The sequence below is a fragment of the Homo sapiens genome, chromosome 11 (assembly GCF_000001405.40).
Source record: "Homo sapiens chromosome 11, GRCh38.p14 Primary Assembly".
NCBI classification, from domain to species: Eukaryota; Metazoa; Chordata; class Mammalia; order Primates; family Hominidae; genus Homo; species Homo sapiens.
The window spans coordinates 85,639,937-85,657,178 of NC_000011.10; the positions used below are offsets into that span (position 1 = coordinate 85,639,937).

The following is a 17,242-nucleotide window of genomic DNA, read 5'->3' on the forward strand; positions in this document are numbered from 1 at the left end:
AAGCAAAATAAGCAGTCACAAAAGGACAAATACTGTGTAATGCCACTCATACGAGGTATCTAAAGTAGTCAAAGTTAGAGAAATAAAGTAGAAAGATGGTTACCAAAGGCTGGGGGAAATGGGGAGGAGGAATTAGTATTGTATAGAGTTTCAGTGTTGCAAGTTCTAGAGATCTGTTGCATAACAATGTGAATACACTTAACACTACTGAACTACACAGTTAAAAATGGTTAAGATGGTAAATGTAATGTTATGTGCTTTTACTACAACAACAACAACAAAATCCTGCAACCAAATACTGTTTTAGATTTACACAATGTGAAATAATTAATCACCAGAAGGCTTGCATTCTAAGAAATCTTAAAGGAAGAAGTACTTCAAATAGAAGGAAAATGATATCAGATGGAAATCTAGAAAAATGAGGAACACTAGAAATGGCAAATCTGTGGGTAAATATAAATGTCCTTATTTTTAAAAATTCTTTCGAAGACAAATGACTATTATGTGGTTTATAACAAGTAGAAGTAAATGTATGACAGTAACTCAAAGACTAGGAGGGAAGACATGAAGGTATAAAATTCTAATACTATACATAAAGTGACATAATACTATTGGAAAGTAGATCATGATAAAGATACTCTTGTGGGTTGAATTGGCCTCTCAAAACATATGTTCAAATCCTAAGCTCAGTACCTGTGAATATGTCCTTATTTGGAAATAGGGTGTTTGCAAATGTAATCAAGTTGGATTAGGATGAATTTTATCCAATGACTGATGTCTTTACAATACCAGGTAAATTTGAGCACACAAACACAACAGAGAGGGAAAACGGCCACATAAAGCCACAAAGACATAAGGGGGAACACCATGTGAATACAGAAGCAAAGATTGGAATGACACATCTATAAACCAACAGACACCAGGGATTGCAGGCAACTACCAGATGCTAAAAGAGAAGGATCGAACAGATTCTCCTTCGGGGCCTCCAATAGAAACCAACCTTGCCAATACATTAATTACAGACTTAAAGCCTCCAGAACAGTGAGAGAATAAATTTGTTGTTTTAAGCCACCCAGTTTGTGGTACTTTCTAAAGATAGCCTTAGGAAACTACGTGTGTACTATATATGCTAAAGCAATCATGACAATTTTTTAAAAGAATTATCACTAGTAGGATACGAAAGGACATGAAATGGAAAAAAATTCAATTAGTCAAAAAAAAGGCAGAAGGAAATGTAGAACAGATAGGACAAATAGAAAACAAATAGAAAGCTGATAGATTTAAACTCTAAAATATAAAAATCATATTAAACATAAATGGTCTAAACACTCACCCCATGAAAAGTCAGCAATTGCCTAATTTAGATAAAAAGCAAAATCCAGCTATATAGCCTAAAAGAAAACCTGCATTAAATCTAAAAACTCAAATAGGTTAAAAGGATAGGAAAAGCTGTGTTGTGTTAACACTAATCTAAAAAGTTATTGGAGTGGCTATAGTGATATCAAATAGGCCAGGCACAGTGGCTCATGCCTGTAATCCCAGCACTTTAGGAGGCCAAGGTAGGAGGATTGCTTGATCCCAGGAGTTCAAAACTAACCTAGGCAACATAGTGATATCCCGTCTCTACAAAAAATAAAAAGTTAGCTGGGCATAGTGGCTGTAGTCCCAGCTACTCAGGTGTCTAAGGCAGGAGGATCACTTGCCAGATGGTTGAGGCTACAGTGAGCCATGATTGTGCCACTGCACACCAACCTGGGTGACAGAGTGAGACCCTGATTCAAAGGAAGGAAGGAGGGAAGGGAGGGAGTGAGGGAGGGGGTGGATTTCAAAGCAAAGAATATTACCAAGGAATAAGGAGGTTATTTCACAATTATACAGGGATCAATTCATCCTAAGTGTTTCTTCATACAATAATGGGAGCTTGAAAATAACGTGAAGCGAGAGTTGACAGAACTGAAAGGAGAAACAGAAAATCCTCATAATGGTTGGAGATTTCAATAACCTTCTCTCCGTATTAATAAAACAAGTTGGTAGAAATTCAGAAAGGATAATGACCATTAGCCAACTTGTGCTAATTGATGTTTTTACAATTCTTGGCACAACAGCAGAGTATACGTTCTTTACAAGCACACATGGACCACTTACCAAGATGGACCAGTATCTACTTTATAAATCTCAATAAACTTAAAAGGATTCAAATCATACAAAGTATATTTTCTGACCAGAATGGAACTGAATTGGAAATCAATAGCAAAATGGTATCTAGAAAATTGGAACTATTACTAAATTAACACACTTCTAAATAATCCACAGGCCAAAGAGGAAAGCAAAGTGAAATTAGAAATTCTTTTGAACTGAATTAAAATAATACAGAACATTTAAAAATCTATGGATACAGTTAAAGCAGCACTTGGAAATTTGTAATGATAAGCACATATGTTAGAGGGGAAAAAGATCTCAAATCAATTACCTCAGGTATGTTTTTAAGAAACGAGAAAAAGAGGAGCAACTTAAATCCTAGATAAGAATAAGAAAGAAACAATATAGAACAGAGGGGGGAAGAAATAGAAAACAGAAACCAATAGAAAAGAACCAATAAAACCAAAAGGTGGTTATTTGAGATTTTCAAAAATAATAAACAATTAGCATAAAGAAGGGAAGACATAAGTGACCAATATCAAGAGAGATGTTTCACCACAGATTCTACAGATGTTAAAATATAACAAGAAAATATTTTTGAACAATTTCAGCCAATAAACTTGAGAACTTAGGTGAAATGAATAAATGAATATTTGATCTTGTTTTGTGAAGATTTGTGAAGTTCACTCAAAAAGAAATAGATAATCAGGGTAGCCATATATCTACCATGAGTATTGAATTTATAGTTAAATCCTCCCTACAAGGAAAACTCAGATCCAGAAATCTTCACTGGTAAAGTCTACCAAACATGTAAGGAAGAAATAATAATATGATGCAAACTCTCCAAAAAAATTGAAGAGATGGGAACACTTGCCAACTCATTCAATAAGTCCAGCAATATCCTGATATCAAAGCCAGATAAAAACATTTTGAGGAAAGAAACTACAGCCTAATACTCCTCATGAACATTGATATAAAAACTTTTGACAAACTTTTAGCAAACCAAATACAAAAATATATATAAAGAATAGTACCTCATGGCCAAGCGGGGCTTATTCCAGGATTGCAAAATTGACTTAACATTTAAAAAAATCACTCAATGTTTTGTTCCACCAAACCCACAGCAGGAGTCACCCCAAAAGTGACAGCAGGGGAGTTTCCACAAGGGAGTGTCCAGAGTTATCCTGAGACTGGGCTGGTTGGGATTCAAAGAAAGAAGCACTAAACACCAGGGTCATCAGTCCAAAGCATTTATTAGGGGAAATTTTATATGACTGAACTGCAGCAATCCTCACCACAAACAGCAAGAGAAAAGGCTAGCAGTTCACAACAAGGGGATTAGGATATGGAGTTTATATGAGGGCTTAGGAATTTGGCTCAGGGCCAGGGCCAGTTTATTTTAGTGTTTTGGGCAACAACCTAGATACCTTTATCAGTGCCTGGAAATGTTTCAGGTCTCGGTTTGGATTCAAGCCTGCTAAGAAAAATCTGCAGCTGGCCAGGTCACAAAGCAGTCAAGGCGCTCTGTGATTTTTGGTCAGGACACGGAAAGATGGCTGGGGAACGTGGAGCCCCTACACAATATAATTCACTGTATCAACAGACTAAACAAGGAAAAAAAACAATCATCTGAATAGATACAGAAAAAGCATTTGACAAAATCCAACATCTGTTCCTGATAAAAACTCCCAGCATGAGGAAAAGAAGGGAACTTCCTTAAGATTTTGAAGAGCATTTACCAAAAAACCTATAATTAACATGATGATGGTGGGAAACTGAATGACTTCCCCCTAAGATCAGGGAAAATGCAAGAATGTCTGCTTTATTGCTTCTAGCCAACATTGTATGGGAGAGTCTAGCCAGATTGGAAAAGAAGAAATAAAATTATCTATGTAATTTTTAAAATCCTATTTGATTTAGCAAGGTTGTAGGTTATAAAATGTAAAAGAAAAAATAAATTGTAACTCTCCAGATAAGCAATTAACAATAAGACCAAGCAATTTGTCCATTTTGTCTAAATTGTCGAACACAGTGGGTTAAAGTTGTTCATAATATCCTCTCCTTATCCTGTTAATGTGTGTAGAATCTGTATTAATGTCCCTTCTTTCAGTCCAAAAAGATTTAGTTGTTTGGTCTCTTTTTCTTTTGATTAGTCTTATTAGGGCTTATTGATTTTATTAATATTTTCAAAGAATCACAGTTGGTCTTTTCTCTATTGTTTTTGTCTTTTCCCTTTCATTTATTTCCACTCTTACCTTTATTATTCCTTCCTCTTTGATTTCCTTTTTGCTTAATTTGATTTTTTTAAAAAAATATTGATTTGGTTGATTTTGCCCTTGATTCTAGGGCATAACCCTTAGTCATTGGATGTAGTCATTAATTCTAAGATGCTGCTCAGTGGAATGTCCAAAGTTTTCACCCGGTCTGTATAACTTGGAAATATTTAAATTTCCGATATTTGAATTTAAATATTCAAAAATACACTGTCTTCCCAGCATCAGATGACTGCTGAAATTTCACTTTATCTCTTCCAGTCTTCCAACTGTTGCTGTCCATTGGGTTCTTTGGGTCTTACCACATGCATGTACTGTTATAATGTCAGCCAAAAATTTGAGGGGATTTTTTAGACAGATTTTGGGGTTCCCTTTTCAAGGTTCCTGCCCCAATTTTCAGTTGATCTGGCATTTCCAAATTTCAACTTCTGAGTGTTTTAGAATGGGAAGAATGCTGCTTTATACTGACACTCGATATTCCCCATGTACTGCACAGACTAATGCCCTCATGAAAAAAAGCTGGATAAATGTGGATCTTACCCACTATTTTTCCCATCTTTCAAGAATTGTATACCTTCCTGTGTTTTCATGCTATTTTGGTTGCTTTCCAGGGTCTTTGAAAAGAATCTCTTCCTTGTCCAGAGTTTATAGTTGTTATTTGCAACAGGGTCTGTCCAACATAAGCTACTGTGTCACTTCCAGAAGCTAGAAGTCCCTCTTTTATTTTTTGATTATTATCTTTGAAAAGTATGGAATCTTCCTGGATCAACTATTTTCAGCAGATTCATGCAGCATTTAAGTCAAAGCCATATCCCAGCAATTTTTCTGTGTGACACAGGATTTTATAGACAGTCTAGGTAAGAGATAATAAGTAGTAGCAATAAAGGTAGTGACAAGTGGTCAAATTCCATTTTCTTTTATTAACTATTTTATGTGCCAATATTCTGTTGTTAGAGAGTTCAGACAAGCTATAAGAAACTAAATTATCTTTTCTCTTTCGGCATTTCTCAAAACTTTTAAAATCAAAAGAATGGCATGTATTTTTAGTGACAGAAAAATATGCTTTGACAAATTGTTCTTTATTTCCTGTTTCCAAAAAGAGCTTACGGTTGTCTGGTGCAAGCATCATAGACATTGCAGATTTCTGGCTACATTTCTATCCCCTCTCTTCCATGCACAGCCCAAGTTCAGCTAAATTGTCTGACAAAAATTTTCATAGATGCTATGTAGAGAATTGCTGAAAGGAAGATGAGTGGAATCTGTGAGAACAGAGTCACCTCCAGTGCCTAAATAAGAAATGATTTCTGTAAAGAATATCTAGGAAGAAAATCAATAAATTGTTCACGATTGATTAGTCTGCAGGGAGTAATGTGGATGAACTTAAGTTTCTGGCTTGTGCAATGAAATGGATGGTGTTGTCAAGCCCTGAGACAGGAAACAGTAGATATAAGAGAGGAAAACATATACGATTTTCAGCTTTGGAGTATGAGATGTCCTTGAGATTTTTATTTAGAGGCACCTATCTAATCTCCATCTGCAGTATTGCCTCCATTTTTTTCTACATCATATGCATCTTATCATAGTGTAACTATGAATTTTTTAACTCCCATTTTTAATAACTAACGTTTCCCAGAAAATAAAGCAAACAAAAGGGAGCAAATTCTTAGTCTGGCATTTGAAGTATTCCACACTCTGGCTCTTTTTTTTTTTTTTTTTTAACTTTTCAACCTTATTGGCCATTATTCTCTACAAGATGGTGGTTTATAGTTTCTACATAATTAGGAAACACAGACAGTTACAGAGAAGGCCTAGTGAAATTCCATTAAGGCAAAGGTAGTAAGCAGAATATTGTGATTTGTTTGCTTAAAACCTTGAGATGAAAAGCAAAGTGAGTAAAAGACTAGATGACCAGGCACGCTGGTTCACGCCTGTAATCCCTGCACTTTGGGAGACCGAGGCGGGTGGATCACCTGAGGTCAGGAGTTCGAGACCAGCCTGGCTAACGTGGTGAAATCCTGTCTTTACTAAAAAATAAGCCGAGGCTGGGCACGGTGGCTCACGCCTGTTATCCCAGCACTTTGGGAGGCCGAGGCGGGTGGATCACGAGGTCAGGAGATAGAGACCATCCCGGCTAACACAGTGAAACCCCGTCTCTACTAGAAATACAAAAAAATTAGCCAGGCGTGGTGGCAGGAGCCTGTAGTCCCAGCTACTTGGGAGGCTGAGGCAGGAGAATGCTGTGAACCCAGGAGGCGGGGCTTGCAGTGAGCCGAAATCACACCACTACACTCCAGCCTGGGTGACAGAACGAGACTCAGTCTCAAAAACAAAAAAAAAAATCAGCTGATCAGCTGGGCGTGGTGGCACACGCCTGTAATCCCAGCTACTCTGGAGGCTGAAGCAGGAGAATCGCTTGAACCTGGAAGGCAGAAGTTGCAATGAGCTGAGATCAGGCCATTGCACTCCAGCCTGGCCGACGAGAGCAAAACTCTGTCTAAAAAATAAAAAATAAAAATAAAAAAAAGACTAGGAATTTTCCTTCTTGTACACCTTCGTGAAAATAAGTCTTTCTATTTGTGCAAGTTTAGAAACTGCAATTACAGACTTCTTGGCACTATGGAGCCTAATGGTCAAGCAACCCTGCAATGGAGAGACAGTATAAAAATTATCTGGACAATGCAACACTTTATCACTTGTTCAGAAATTTGAGAGGATGAGAATAATTAAGATTTCTGATAATGTGTTATGATCATGTATTTATTGCTACAGTTAGTTATATATTTTTTGGCACAATGTTTACCTGCTAATCTTAATGGAGTTAAGATAAAATTCAATTGTAGGCATTTTTCCCTTCTATTGGGTTAATTAGTCCAAGCGAACTGAGCAAAGGTTGCAGGGAGCCCCAGCATGGCTGAGGAAGACCTGGTGAGGCATCCACTGGCTGCTGGGAGGAGAGCATTAGAGGTACCTTCTGAACAGCACTGTCCAATAGAAATATAATGCAAGCCACATATATAATTCTAAATTTTCTAGTATTTATACTTAAAAAGCAAGAAGAAATAAGATGACTTTCACCCAACACTGCTTCCAAATAAGCAGTACTCTGGAGAACACGAGAAATCCTCAGAAAAATAAGCTGCAGCTCTGAGGTGCTGATTATGGTAGGGCAATCAATACAGATCAAAACATGGCACAGGGAGCTTAAGTTCCTAGGGAGAGTAGAAAATCGATAGAGCCAAGAAATAGCTCACCTTTGACTTATTTTTAACCTGAGTAGCTATCATATGCCAAGAGCTGTGCAGTTTTCATTTACCCCATGCCAAGAACGTAAGTAGGCTCTACTGACCAGGAAGTTAAGTAATATGCCCGAGGTACGTTTTCAATGGAAGAGGCTGACTGAGGGTCACCCAACTTATATCTCGAAATTTCACAATTTCTACAAGTTCTGTCCTGGGAGGCAAGAGTAGGTGAAACGAGCACACTCTACGCCAGGCAAACAAACCTCAACGCTTAGCCTCCCGGCACCTCCTAGGGCCGGAAGCTTCTCAGCCCAAAGCCGCTGCTGGCTGCAACCTCCGTCCCGCAGTCCAATTAGCAGCCGCGACCCGGCGCCCGCCCACGCCGCGTCACGAGTCAGCCAAAGATGGCTGCGCCCAGGTAATTTGAGCAAAGGCCACAGTGAACTCCGGCGTGGCTGAGGAAGGAGGAGGCACCCACAGGCTGCTGGGAGGAGAGCATAAGGTACTGGTATTCCGGGGGAGGGGGTGAAGTAAATGTCCCGGTGTCAGGAGAAGCACGACGCGGTGACACGCTAGCTACCAGCAGCGCTGCGCGTAAATGAGAGCAAGTAGAAGTGTAGTTAGCTCTTCCTGCTGTCTTTTCACTTTGCACTCTAGAAGGAAAGACCTTATATTTAAATTAACTCAGTAGAAAGGAGAAATGCCTGAGATTGAATTTAATCCCAGGTTTACTGTCAATTTACAAGGTGACCACGGCCAAATTTGATTTTCAGAGGTCCCACTTTACTTCTCTTTCAGATAGGCCCCACACTGCCTATCTCTCAGAGCTCTTCCAAGAATGACATGAGATAGGTAACACAAAAATCTTTCGAAATATTTGTAGTTTTTACAGGCGGCGTTGTCTTTGATAGATATTTGTTATTAATATCGGAGACAAAATGCCCACAGGGGCTGCCCAGTCAGCACTTATACTGAATTGAGTGACTTAATTGCCCTCAGTACAATATATACATACTAAATTTGATTATATATTTCACCACCCCATACACAAAATCATTCAGAGCTCCTGTACAGCAGAGATTGTGTCTTATCATCTTATCGTAGCCAAGGCCCTCAAAAATTTGACTACCAGAAACCTAGACATAAATTTCTAAGGCTGCTTTGTACTTATTAGGTTAGCTTTAAGTCTAGAGATATGGAATGTCAAGGTAATCAACATTTCCAAATGACCTCTTATCGATATAAAACAGGTAGCAATAAATATTTAAACGAGTGCCTGTAATGTTGTAGGAAATGAGAAAATCTGGTTTCATAAAAGCATGTTTTCCTTTGTTGTTATCCCTGAACTGTTTTTTTTTTTTTTTTTGTAGACCGAGTCTCGCTCTCACCCAGGCTGGAGTGCAGTGGCGAGATCTCGGCACACTGCAACCTCCACCTCCCAGGTTCAAGCGATTCTCCTGCCTCAGCCTCCCGAGTAGCTGGGATTACAGGCAGCTGCCGCCGTGCCTGGCTAATTTTTGTATTTTTAAAAGACAGGGAGTTTCACCATGTTGGCCAGGCTGGTCTCGAACTCCTGACCTCAGGTGATCCGTCTGCCTTGGCCTCCCAAGGTGCTGGGATTACAGGCGTGAGCCACTGCATCCAGCCTTTGTTTTTCTTAACTGTTACCCTGAAACCTGAGCCAAATCTTCATCATTCACCATTCCCTTCACATTTTCACCCTAACTAGTGCAGACATCAACAAACTACTGGCATGTAGGCCATATGCAGCCTATAGCTTGCCTTGGTACAGCCACCCAGCTAAGAATGATTTTTATGTTTTTATAGTTTTTTTAAAAACAAATATTCAACAAAGGCTGTATGTTACCTGCAAAGCCTACCACATTTACATCTGGCCCTTTAAAGTTTGCTGAGCCCTGATCTCAGGTATACCTAGAAATGAAATTGCTAGCTATGTGTGTCTTCTATCTGCTAAATAATACCAAATTCTTTCCCAAAGTGACTGTACAGTTTGGGTAAAGCTACCCCACAGAATGTACACAGAATGTAGTTTTAGCTACCCCGCATTCTTGCCAATAATTGGAATTGTCAGATTTTGATTTTAGCTAACCTATGGGTACCTATTGGTATCTCACTGTGGGTTGTTCCCCCAGTTATAATGAAGGTGAGCATATTTTCATGTTTATTGGCCATTTAACTTTCCTTTTTGTGAAGTGCCTGTTCAAATATTTTGTCAGTTTTTCCGTAGGGCTGCTTACCTTTTTCATGTTGATATGTAGTTCCATGTATGTTCTGGGTACTAACTACTCTTTTGTCAGTTCTATTGCATTTTCTCCCCCACTAGCTTATCTTTATGGTATATGTTGATAACCATAGGTTCTTAACTTCAATACTGTTAGTTTTATAAGTCTTTTATGTTTAGTGCTATTTGTGAATTGTTTAGGAAATACTTTCAAGGATTATGAAGATATTCTGTATTTCCTAAAAGCTTTATGTGTTGCTTTTCATGTTCTGGTTTCTGTTTCACTTAGATTTTTTTTTAATAATATGTATGCAATGATTTTTTTCAGATTAGCTCTACAGTATTATTTTTAGTCTTCAGAAGGTTTTTAAAATTCTTTGTATAAATTCTTGAGAAATGATATCTTCATGTTTTTTAAGGCTCAAAATGGAAAATCATAAATCCAATAATAAGGAAAACATAACAATTGTTGATATATCCAGAAAAATTAACCAGCTTCCAGAAGCAGAAAGGTAAGATCCCTTCTTAATTTAAAAACACCTTTTATCAGGTGGATTTTCACCATTGATTCATTATCTCAAGTTTATCTGGTTTGAGTATAAACAACATGGAATGTGAGAAGGAAATTGCCCTTTTCTTGCCTGGATGAGAGCGTTTAACCATTTTGCTCAACATCACATAGCTAATTGTGGAAGGTGAGGCTGGAACTCATGTCTTTGGACATACCTAATTGTATAATGTTTTGAGTTTTTCCATTAGGCTTGGAGTATAGTAAAATGTAAACATTTACAGACCCATTTAAATAACAAAACTTTAACTTTTAAAATGTCTTTTTTTTCCCAGTTCATTCTGTCAGTATGCTTACCAGTCTAAGAGTACCATAGAACACACATAGCAAGATAGAGAATGTCAGAGAAATAGGATCATGGCTAAAGATCTTTAAGATATTATTAAAGAGGGCCAGGCATGGTGGCTCACGCCAGTAATCCCAGCACTTTGGGAGGCCAGGGTGGGCAGATCACCTGAGGTCAGGAGTTCAGACCAGCCTGGCCAACATGGTGAAACCTCATCTCTACTAAAAGTACAAAAATTAGCTGGGCGTGGTGGCAGGTGCCTGTAATCCCAGCTACTTGGGAGGCTGAGGCAGGAGAATTGCTTGAACCAGGGAGGCGGAGGTTGCAGTGAGCCGAGATCACACCACTACACCCCAGCCTGGGCGACAAGAGTGAGGATCCGTCTCAAAAAAAAAAAAAAAAAAAAAAGATATTAAAGAGAAAAACCAATATAGGGAACATACTAATCTTTGCCAGGCAGCTAATGTGTACTTCCACAAAATGTCTTACACTTTGTTGACAGTCAAGAAGGTCTCTCTGACTATAAAAGGATGAAAAGCAGCCACCTGGGAAGGAGAGAGGGACAGTGTCTTAAGTAGAGGGAATGGCATATGCCTAGCCACAAGATAGCCAAGGCTTGTGGTACTTGAGTAACCATTGTTACCGAAGTACTAAGGAAGTGGGAGTAAGGACCAGGAATAGTTTTGAGCAGGGGGATGATGTTAGCATTTCTAAAGAACATTCCAGCTGCTTTTTGGAAAGCAGATTTGAGGTAGGAAAGAAAGGAAACACAAATACCAGTAGAAAAAATGGCACAGTAATCCTGGTGAGTGGAGATGGTAGGGGTGGTGACAGCTGAGATGAAAAGAGGATGCATTTAAAATACATTCTGGAAGCATAATCTTGCTATCTTCAGGAATAGAAACTGAACAAATCCCCATCTTGCTGCCACTTACCATCTTAATCAGGGAGAACCCATAAATCAAGACCAGTAGTGTTCAGAACAAGGATCTCCAAGGGGAAGAAAAAAAAGGCCAGTAGTAAGAACTTGGTGAGATCTTAAAAGCTCTTTCACCCCCCCTCCCCACACTCCAACTCCACTCCCTTCTAGTTGTTTTCCTGAGGTAACGGAAAACCTTTTAAAGCAAAAAAGGAACTATGTCCATGTTTCCAGGCCAGCAAGATAGGGAAAGTGAGAAAGACTAATAAAAGAGTAGTAGGCTGGGCATGGTGGCTCACACCTGTAATCCCAGCACTTTGGGAGGCGGAGGCGGGCTGGTCACCTGAGGTCAGGAGTTTAAGACTAGCCTGGCCAACATGGCGAAACCCTATCTCTACTAAAAATACAAAAATTAGCCAGATGTGGGGGCACGTGCCTGTAGTCCTACCCACTGGAGAAGCTGAGGCACGAGAATTGTTTGAACCTGGGAGGCGGATGTTGCATGGAGCTGAGATCATGCCACTGCACTCCAGCCTGGGCGACAGAGCAAGACTGTCTCAAAAAAGAGTAGATGGTGGCAGCTTTGAAGAGAAGAAAGCAGTCTGTCACTGGGTTCTTTACCAAATTAGAAAGAATACCTGGAACTGCAAAGTAAAATTTAGTTTAGAGGCAATAAATGTTTCAATCATTGGCATCTAAACTAGGCAGATTACAGTGTCCTGTTATCTTTGCCTTGTTCCTATTTTTTCTCTTCATTCCCATTTTATTTTCTAAGTTTAAATCTTCATTTCTTCTTGGATTATTAATCAGGTATTTAATGGTTACTTGGCATGTCCTTCAGTGTATGGAGCTTTCTTAATATCAAAAACTTCATTTTCTGATCTACAGCAATACTTTCACGTACATGTTTGTCATTTGTTAAATTTGGGCTATTTCATGTCTATTTCTTGTGTATGTCTTATCAAAAAGTCATGAGTTTTTAGTTGGTATAGGTACTTTTTTGGAAAACTGGCAAGGGGCTGCTAGGTAACAATTTTGTGCTAACTTTTAATTAACTAAACATTTTGACCTTAGCTATGGGAAAAATCTGGTTGGGAGAGAGCAAAGTTTGCTATGCAGATTTCACTTGTACTACTTTTTATTTATTTGTATATGTAACATACTTGTAAACAAATGGACTTATATATAACATGTATATATGTATTTTATATATATTATATATACATACAGGCAAATTGTTTACCTGAGCATTGGGATTTAAAATGGGGATAATATACATTTCACATGATTTTTATGATGAAATATTTTAGAGGAAGTGTTCAAGTTTTTTATTCCAACCCCCACAAAAAAAAAATAGGCTTTTCACATTTACATGGTTTTTGTGGTTGGTAGGTTCTCCAGACTGTCATCACTAATTATAATCTATGTACTCCAAGTTCCTGAACTGCCACTGTCTTGTACCACCATTACCATTTTCATAGACTTCTGTTATATCTCGTTTACATCTCTTTCTTCTCCAGTAATATTTAACTATGTTAACCTTGAAGATAGAAGGTAATTTTTTGTGCCTTTAGCACTAAGTCTGCTGCATACAGTGGGGTTCTCAATGAGTGACAGGCATCATGATTGCAAAGTGTCAGATAAGAAAAGCAATACCTTATACAACGTAGGAAGCTGAGTTCCTAGAAAAGCTATTTTAAGATGAGTGTAAGCCATAGAAGTTAGAGGAGGTACTCTGTGGCTACTTTGGCTAGTTAAGAGTAATGAAAATCTTAAGACTGTATTGTAGATGGCAATGTAAGTGGTAAAAAAGCTAAGTCGTAGTCTGAAAAGTTTGGAGTCAGTATTTTCAATATTCAGCAATCATGTTAGGTATTACTTTTTCCCAAAACTAAAGAATGCATAGGACATAAGTTAAAAGTTCATACATAACCTGGCTTCAAATCCAGTTCTACCACTACCTGAAAACATCAGTTTATTTCTCATCAATGGGTTGTTATAAAGTACCTAGCATAGGGTATTGCTTAAATGTTAATACTCCCAATCCTGACACTAATGTTTCAGGGAAGAGTGAAAGAAATCACATTAACTCCACATTATTGAACATCTTCTGTGTCAGGCTGAATACATCTTTGTATCCATTGTCTTCTGGTTGTTTAAAGACTAGTGTAGAAGCCTGACATGTAAATCGGTGATTATATAAGATAGTACTGTCTTGTAATGTGTTGTGCTAGAGAGGTTAAGTATTAATTATTATGGGAGCTCAGGAGAGGCACCCACTGGCTGCTGGGAGAAGAGCAAAAACCTATATATAAAGCAATTTTTAAGATTTTGGTTCTATAAGGGATAGATGTCGTATCCAGTTAGTGTATTCCCAAAGTCCTATAACACATGTCAAGATCGGGAAAGCTCACACACACAATAATGCCAAAGAAAAGTTCTTTCTTCTCACCCTTTCAGGAATCTACTTGAAAATGGATCGGTTTATGTTGGATTAAATGCTGCTCTTTGTGGCCTCATAGCAAACAGTCTTTTTCGACGCATCTTGAATGTGACAAAGGCTCGCATAGCTGCTGGCTTACCAATGGCAGGGATACCTTTTCTTACAACAGACTTAACTTACAGATGTTTTGTAAGTTTTCCTTTGAATACAGGTAAATTCTACTTCACTATCACCAAAGAGTTTGCCTTAGTATATGTTATTTGCAGCTTTAGTCCATACTTATTAATATCAAGTAGCTGTATGCTGTAATGCAGTTAAGATTAAATCTTGCTAGCCTATATAATGTGGCAAATAATTCATATTAGTATGGTCTACCAACCAAGATGCACATACACAGCAGTTCTAAATACTTTTTCTTTAATTGAGATGGAGTTTTGCTCTTGTTGCCCAGGTTGGAGTGCCCTGGCGCAATCTTGGCTCACTGCAACCTCCACCTTCTGGGTTCAAGCAATTCTCCTGCCTCAGCCTCCTGAGTAGCTGGGATTACAGGTGCCCACCACCATGCCCGGCTAATTTTTTGTATTTTTAGTAGAGACAGGGTTTCACCATGTTGGCCAGGCTGGTCTCAAACTCCTGACCTCAGGTGATCCACCCGCCTTGTCTTCTCAAAGTGCTGGGATTACAGGCGTGAGCCACTGCACCCGGCAATACTTCCCTTTTTCTAACATATCTTTCTCACAGTGCTCATTTAGAGTAAGAAATATTTGGAAATCCATATATACATATATATGAAAATTATATATATGGAAATATTATATATATACAAATGTATATAAATAATATGTTGGCTACCTTAGATTTTTTATTTATATTTTATAGAGAAGTTCCTTAAAGGGGGAAAATATTTTTATGGGAATAACTCTTTATACAGTAAATCTCTTAAAGCACTAAATGCATATACATTTATCAAATACATGGAGATTTGATTTCCTTTTGAAAATCTACCATGTGTGCTGAATACTTTGAGTACAGTTAATCATAAAAAAAACTTTTGATTAATTATTTCAAATAAAAATATTACCATGGGTGCTAGGGAAGGCAGTCCATCTAAATTTTGTTAAGTGCTGCTCCAAATTTGTTTAAATTTGACGAGTATTTTGTTTTAATTCCCATGACCAGTGGAAACAATTTCTATGATCAAGGAAGACCTATCGCCCATTTAATTGAACAGACTGAGTGAAAATATTAGCCTAGGTCTGTTGATAAAAAACAAGGCAGAAAGCTAGCAGTAGCCCAAACCATGAGATTATTATATCTAAGTTGAGAACAAATTAGAGAACTTTTTTTCCTAAAATAGTTTTACCAATTATTCCTAGCTATTTTAAGTTACTCATAGATGTAATTATACCTTTTAACAGGCTTTGTACAATTACATTTGATATATTACCTGAAAAATACCTGTGATACACAAAAGAGGATCTTACATTCTTTAAATCATGTTTGCTTGACTATCATGACCTTCATTTCTATGACTAATTTATTTCCTAGGTGATTTGGATTGTGAAACCTGTACCATAACACGGAGTGGACTGACTGGTCTTGTTATTGGTGGTCTATACCCTGTTTTCTTGGCTATACCTGTAAATGGTGGTCTAGCAGCCAGGTAGGAAATAAAAAACTTTTTATAATATGTGATTACCTATAAAACTCACAACTTAAAGCAGCAAATATATTTTGTTTTTAAGGCATTTAGACCAAAGGCAATGTTACCCTCTTGATTAGAAGTTAGCAAGACCTGTTTTTTCTTATAATGAAATTCTACTTATCAAGAATTTCAAACAGTTATACTTGGTGTGTAGTTAGGCTATTAACCTTAATTTGTGTACTGAATACTAAACTAACTACAAAGCTGCAAACAGTATTATGCATGAAACTTCTATCATATAAACAATTATCTTGGATGAGTTTGAACACTTGCACTAAAGGAAAATTCCATCAGAAAATGTCTAGCTGTTATATTAGCCTTCTATTCTAAAATAATTCTGGCTATTCTCTGTTGAACTCTTGCATCAGCAATCTATGCTATAGCCTTGAAGCAAACTGGATAAAGAAACAAAAGTTTTTAGGATTAATAGACACTGAAGACCTTTACTTTAATATTCAGTTTTATCTTAAGACTTCTAGGACTAATATGTATCACAGATGGGTTTGCCATTTGATGCAACAATCTTTTCTATTGAACTATCTCAATGTTTTCTTACAGGTATCAATCAGCTCTGTTACCACACAAAGGGAACATCTTAAGTTACTGGATTAGAACTTCTAAGCCTGTCTTTAGAAAGATGTTATTTCCTATTTTGCTCCAGACTATGTTTTCAGCATACCTTGGGTCTGAACAATATAAACTACTTATAAAGGCCCTTCAGTTATCTGAACCTGGCAAAGAAATTCACTGATTTTAAACAAATATGTAAACAAAAATAAAATGGTAAAAACAGTTTATGTCTAATGTTATGTCTAATGTTATGCATAAACATAGACTTGTAATTTATCACGAGGTATAATTCTGGGACCTACAACAAAAGGCTACACAGGGCAACAAAAGGCTGAATCTAAGTAAAAGCTACCCACTTAAACAAGTTTAACTTCACGAGTTTGCCCAGTATTGTCTCTTCTACCTTGCTTGTTCTACCTTAGGCGTTGAGTTTGGTCTGTAACACAAGAGGAAAAAGTAACTATATAGTATTTTACACTGAAGACTTCATAATGACAAACAGGAATAAAAAATGAAAAAATATCTATCAATATACTATACCAAATGTTACTCACAATTCACTTTCTCAATTCAAATTATTAATCCATAGATTCTTAGAACTGATTTAACAACCTTCCTCAAATCAATCATCTTCTTGAGTCATTCAGGCTCAGCTTCAGCTATTATGATATAGACCTACCTACTTCGAGTCACCTTATTTAGAAAGCTGTATTTTTAGTTTAGGTAGTCTTTCAAGCTTCCATTTATTGTGGCATATTTAGAATCACAAAATTAACTAATCTCTCTGACCCTCAGTGAAATATCCTAGTTGGTTCATTTCCTAAGATCATTTAAATTTTTGATGTGCTTTCTTCTGTT

General features: G+C 37.5%; 1 protein-coding gene across 2 annotated transcripts, besides 2 other annotated features; it reads left to right on the top strand.

Moving 5' to 3' along the window:
* Window positions 7,792–7,841: an enhancer, noted in NCBI's record as "active region_5366". NCBI's record gives its function as "activates an Ori minimal core promoter by ATAC-STARR-seq in GM12878 lymphoblastoid cells {active_cell/tissue: GM12878}" and the evidence as "EXISTENCE:reporter gene assay evidence [ECO:0000049][PMID:35858748]".
* Window positions 8,012–8,281: an enhancer, noted in NCBI's record as "active region_5367". NCBI's record gives its function as "activates an Ori minimal core promoter by ATAC-STARR-seq in GM12878 lymphoblastoid cells {active_cell/tissue: GM12878}" and the evidence as "EXISTENCE:reporter gene assay evidence [ECO:0000049][PMID:35858748]".
* Window positions 8,031–16,606, top strand: TMEM126A (transmembrane protein 126A). Of its 2 annotated transcripts, NM_032273.4 has the most exons (5): window positions 8,031–8,153; window positions 10,313–10,405; window positions 14,127–14,320; window positions 15,658–15,772; window positions 16,373–16,606. In NM_032273.4, exons 2-5 carry the CDS (start codon window positions 10,320–10,322, stop codon window positions 16,563–16,565), a joined length of 588 nt encoding a protein of 195 aa, NP_115649.1. In that variant the 5' UTR covers window positions 8,031–8,153; window positions 10,313–10,319; the 3' UTR covers window positions 16,566–16,606. The 2 variants fall into 2 exon arrangements, with proteins under 2 accessions (NP_115649.1, NP_001231664.1); NM_001244735.2 differs by lacking the exon at window positions 10,313–10,405.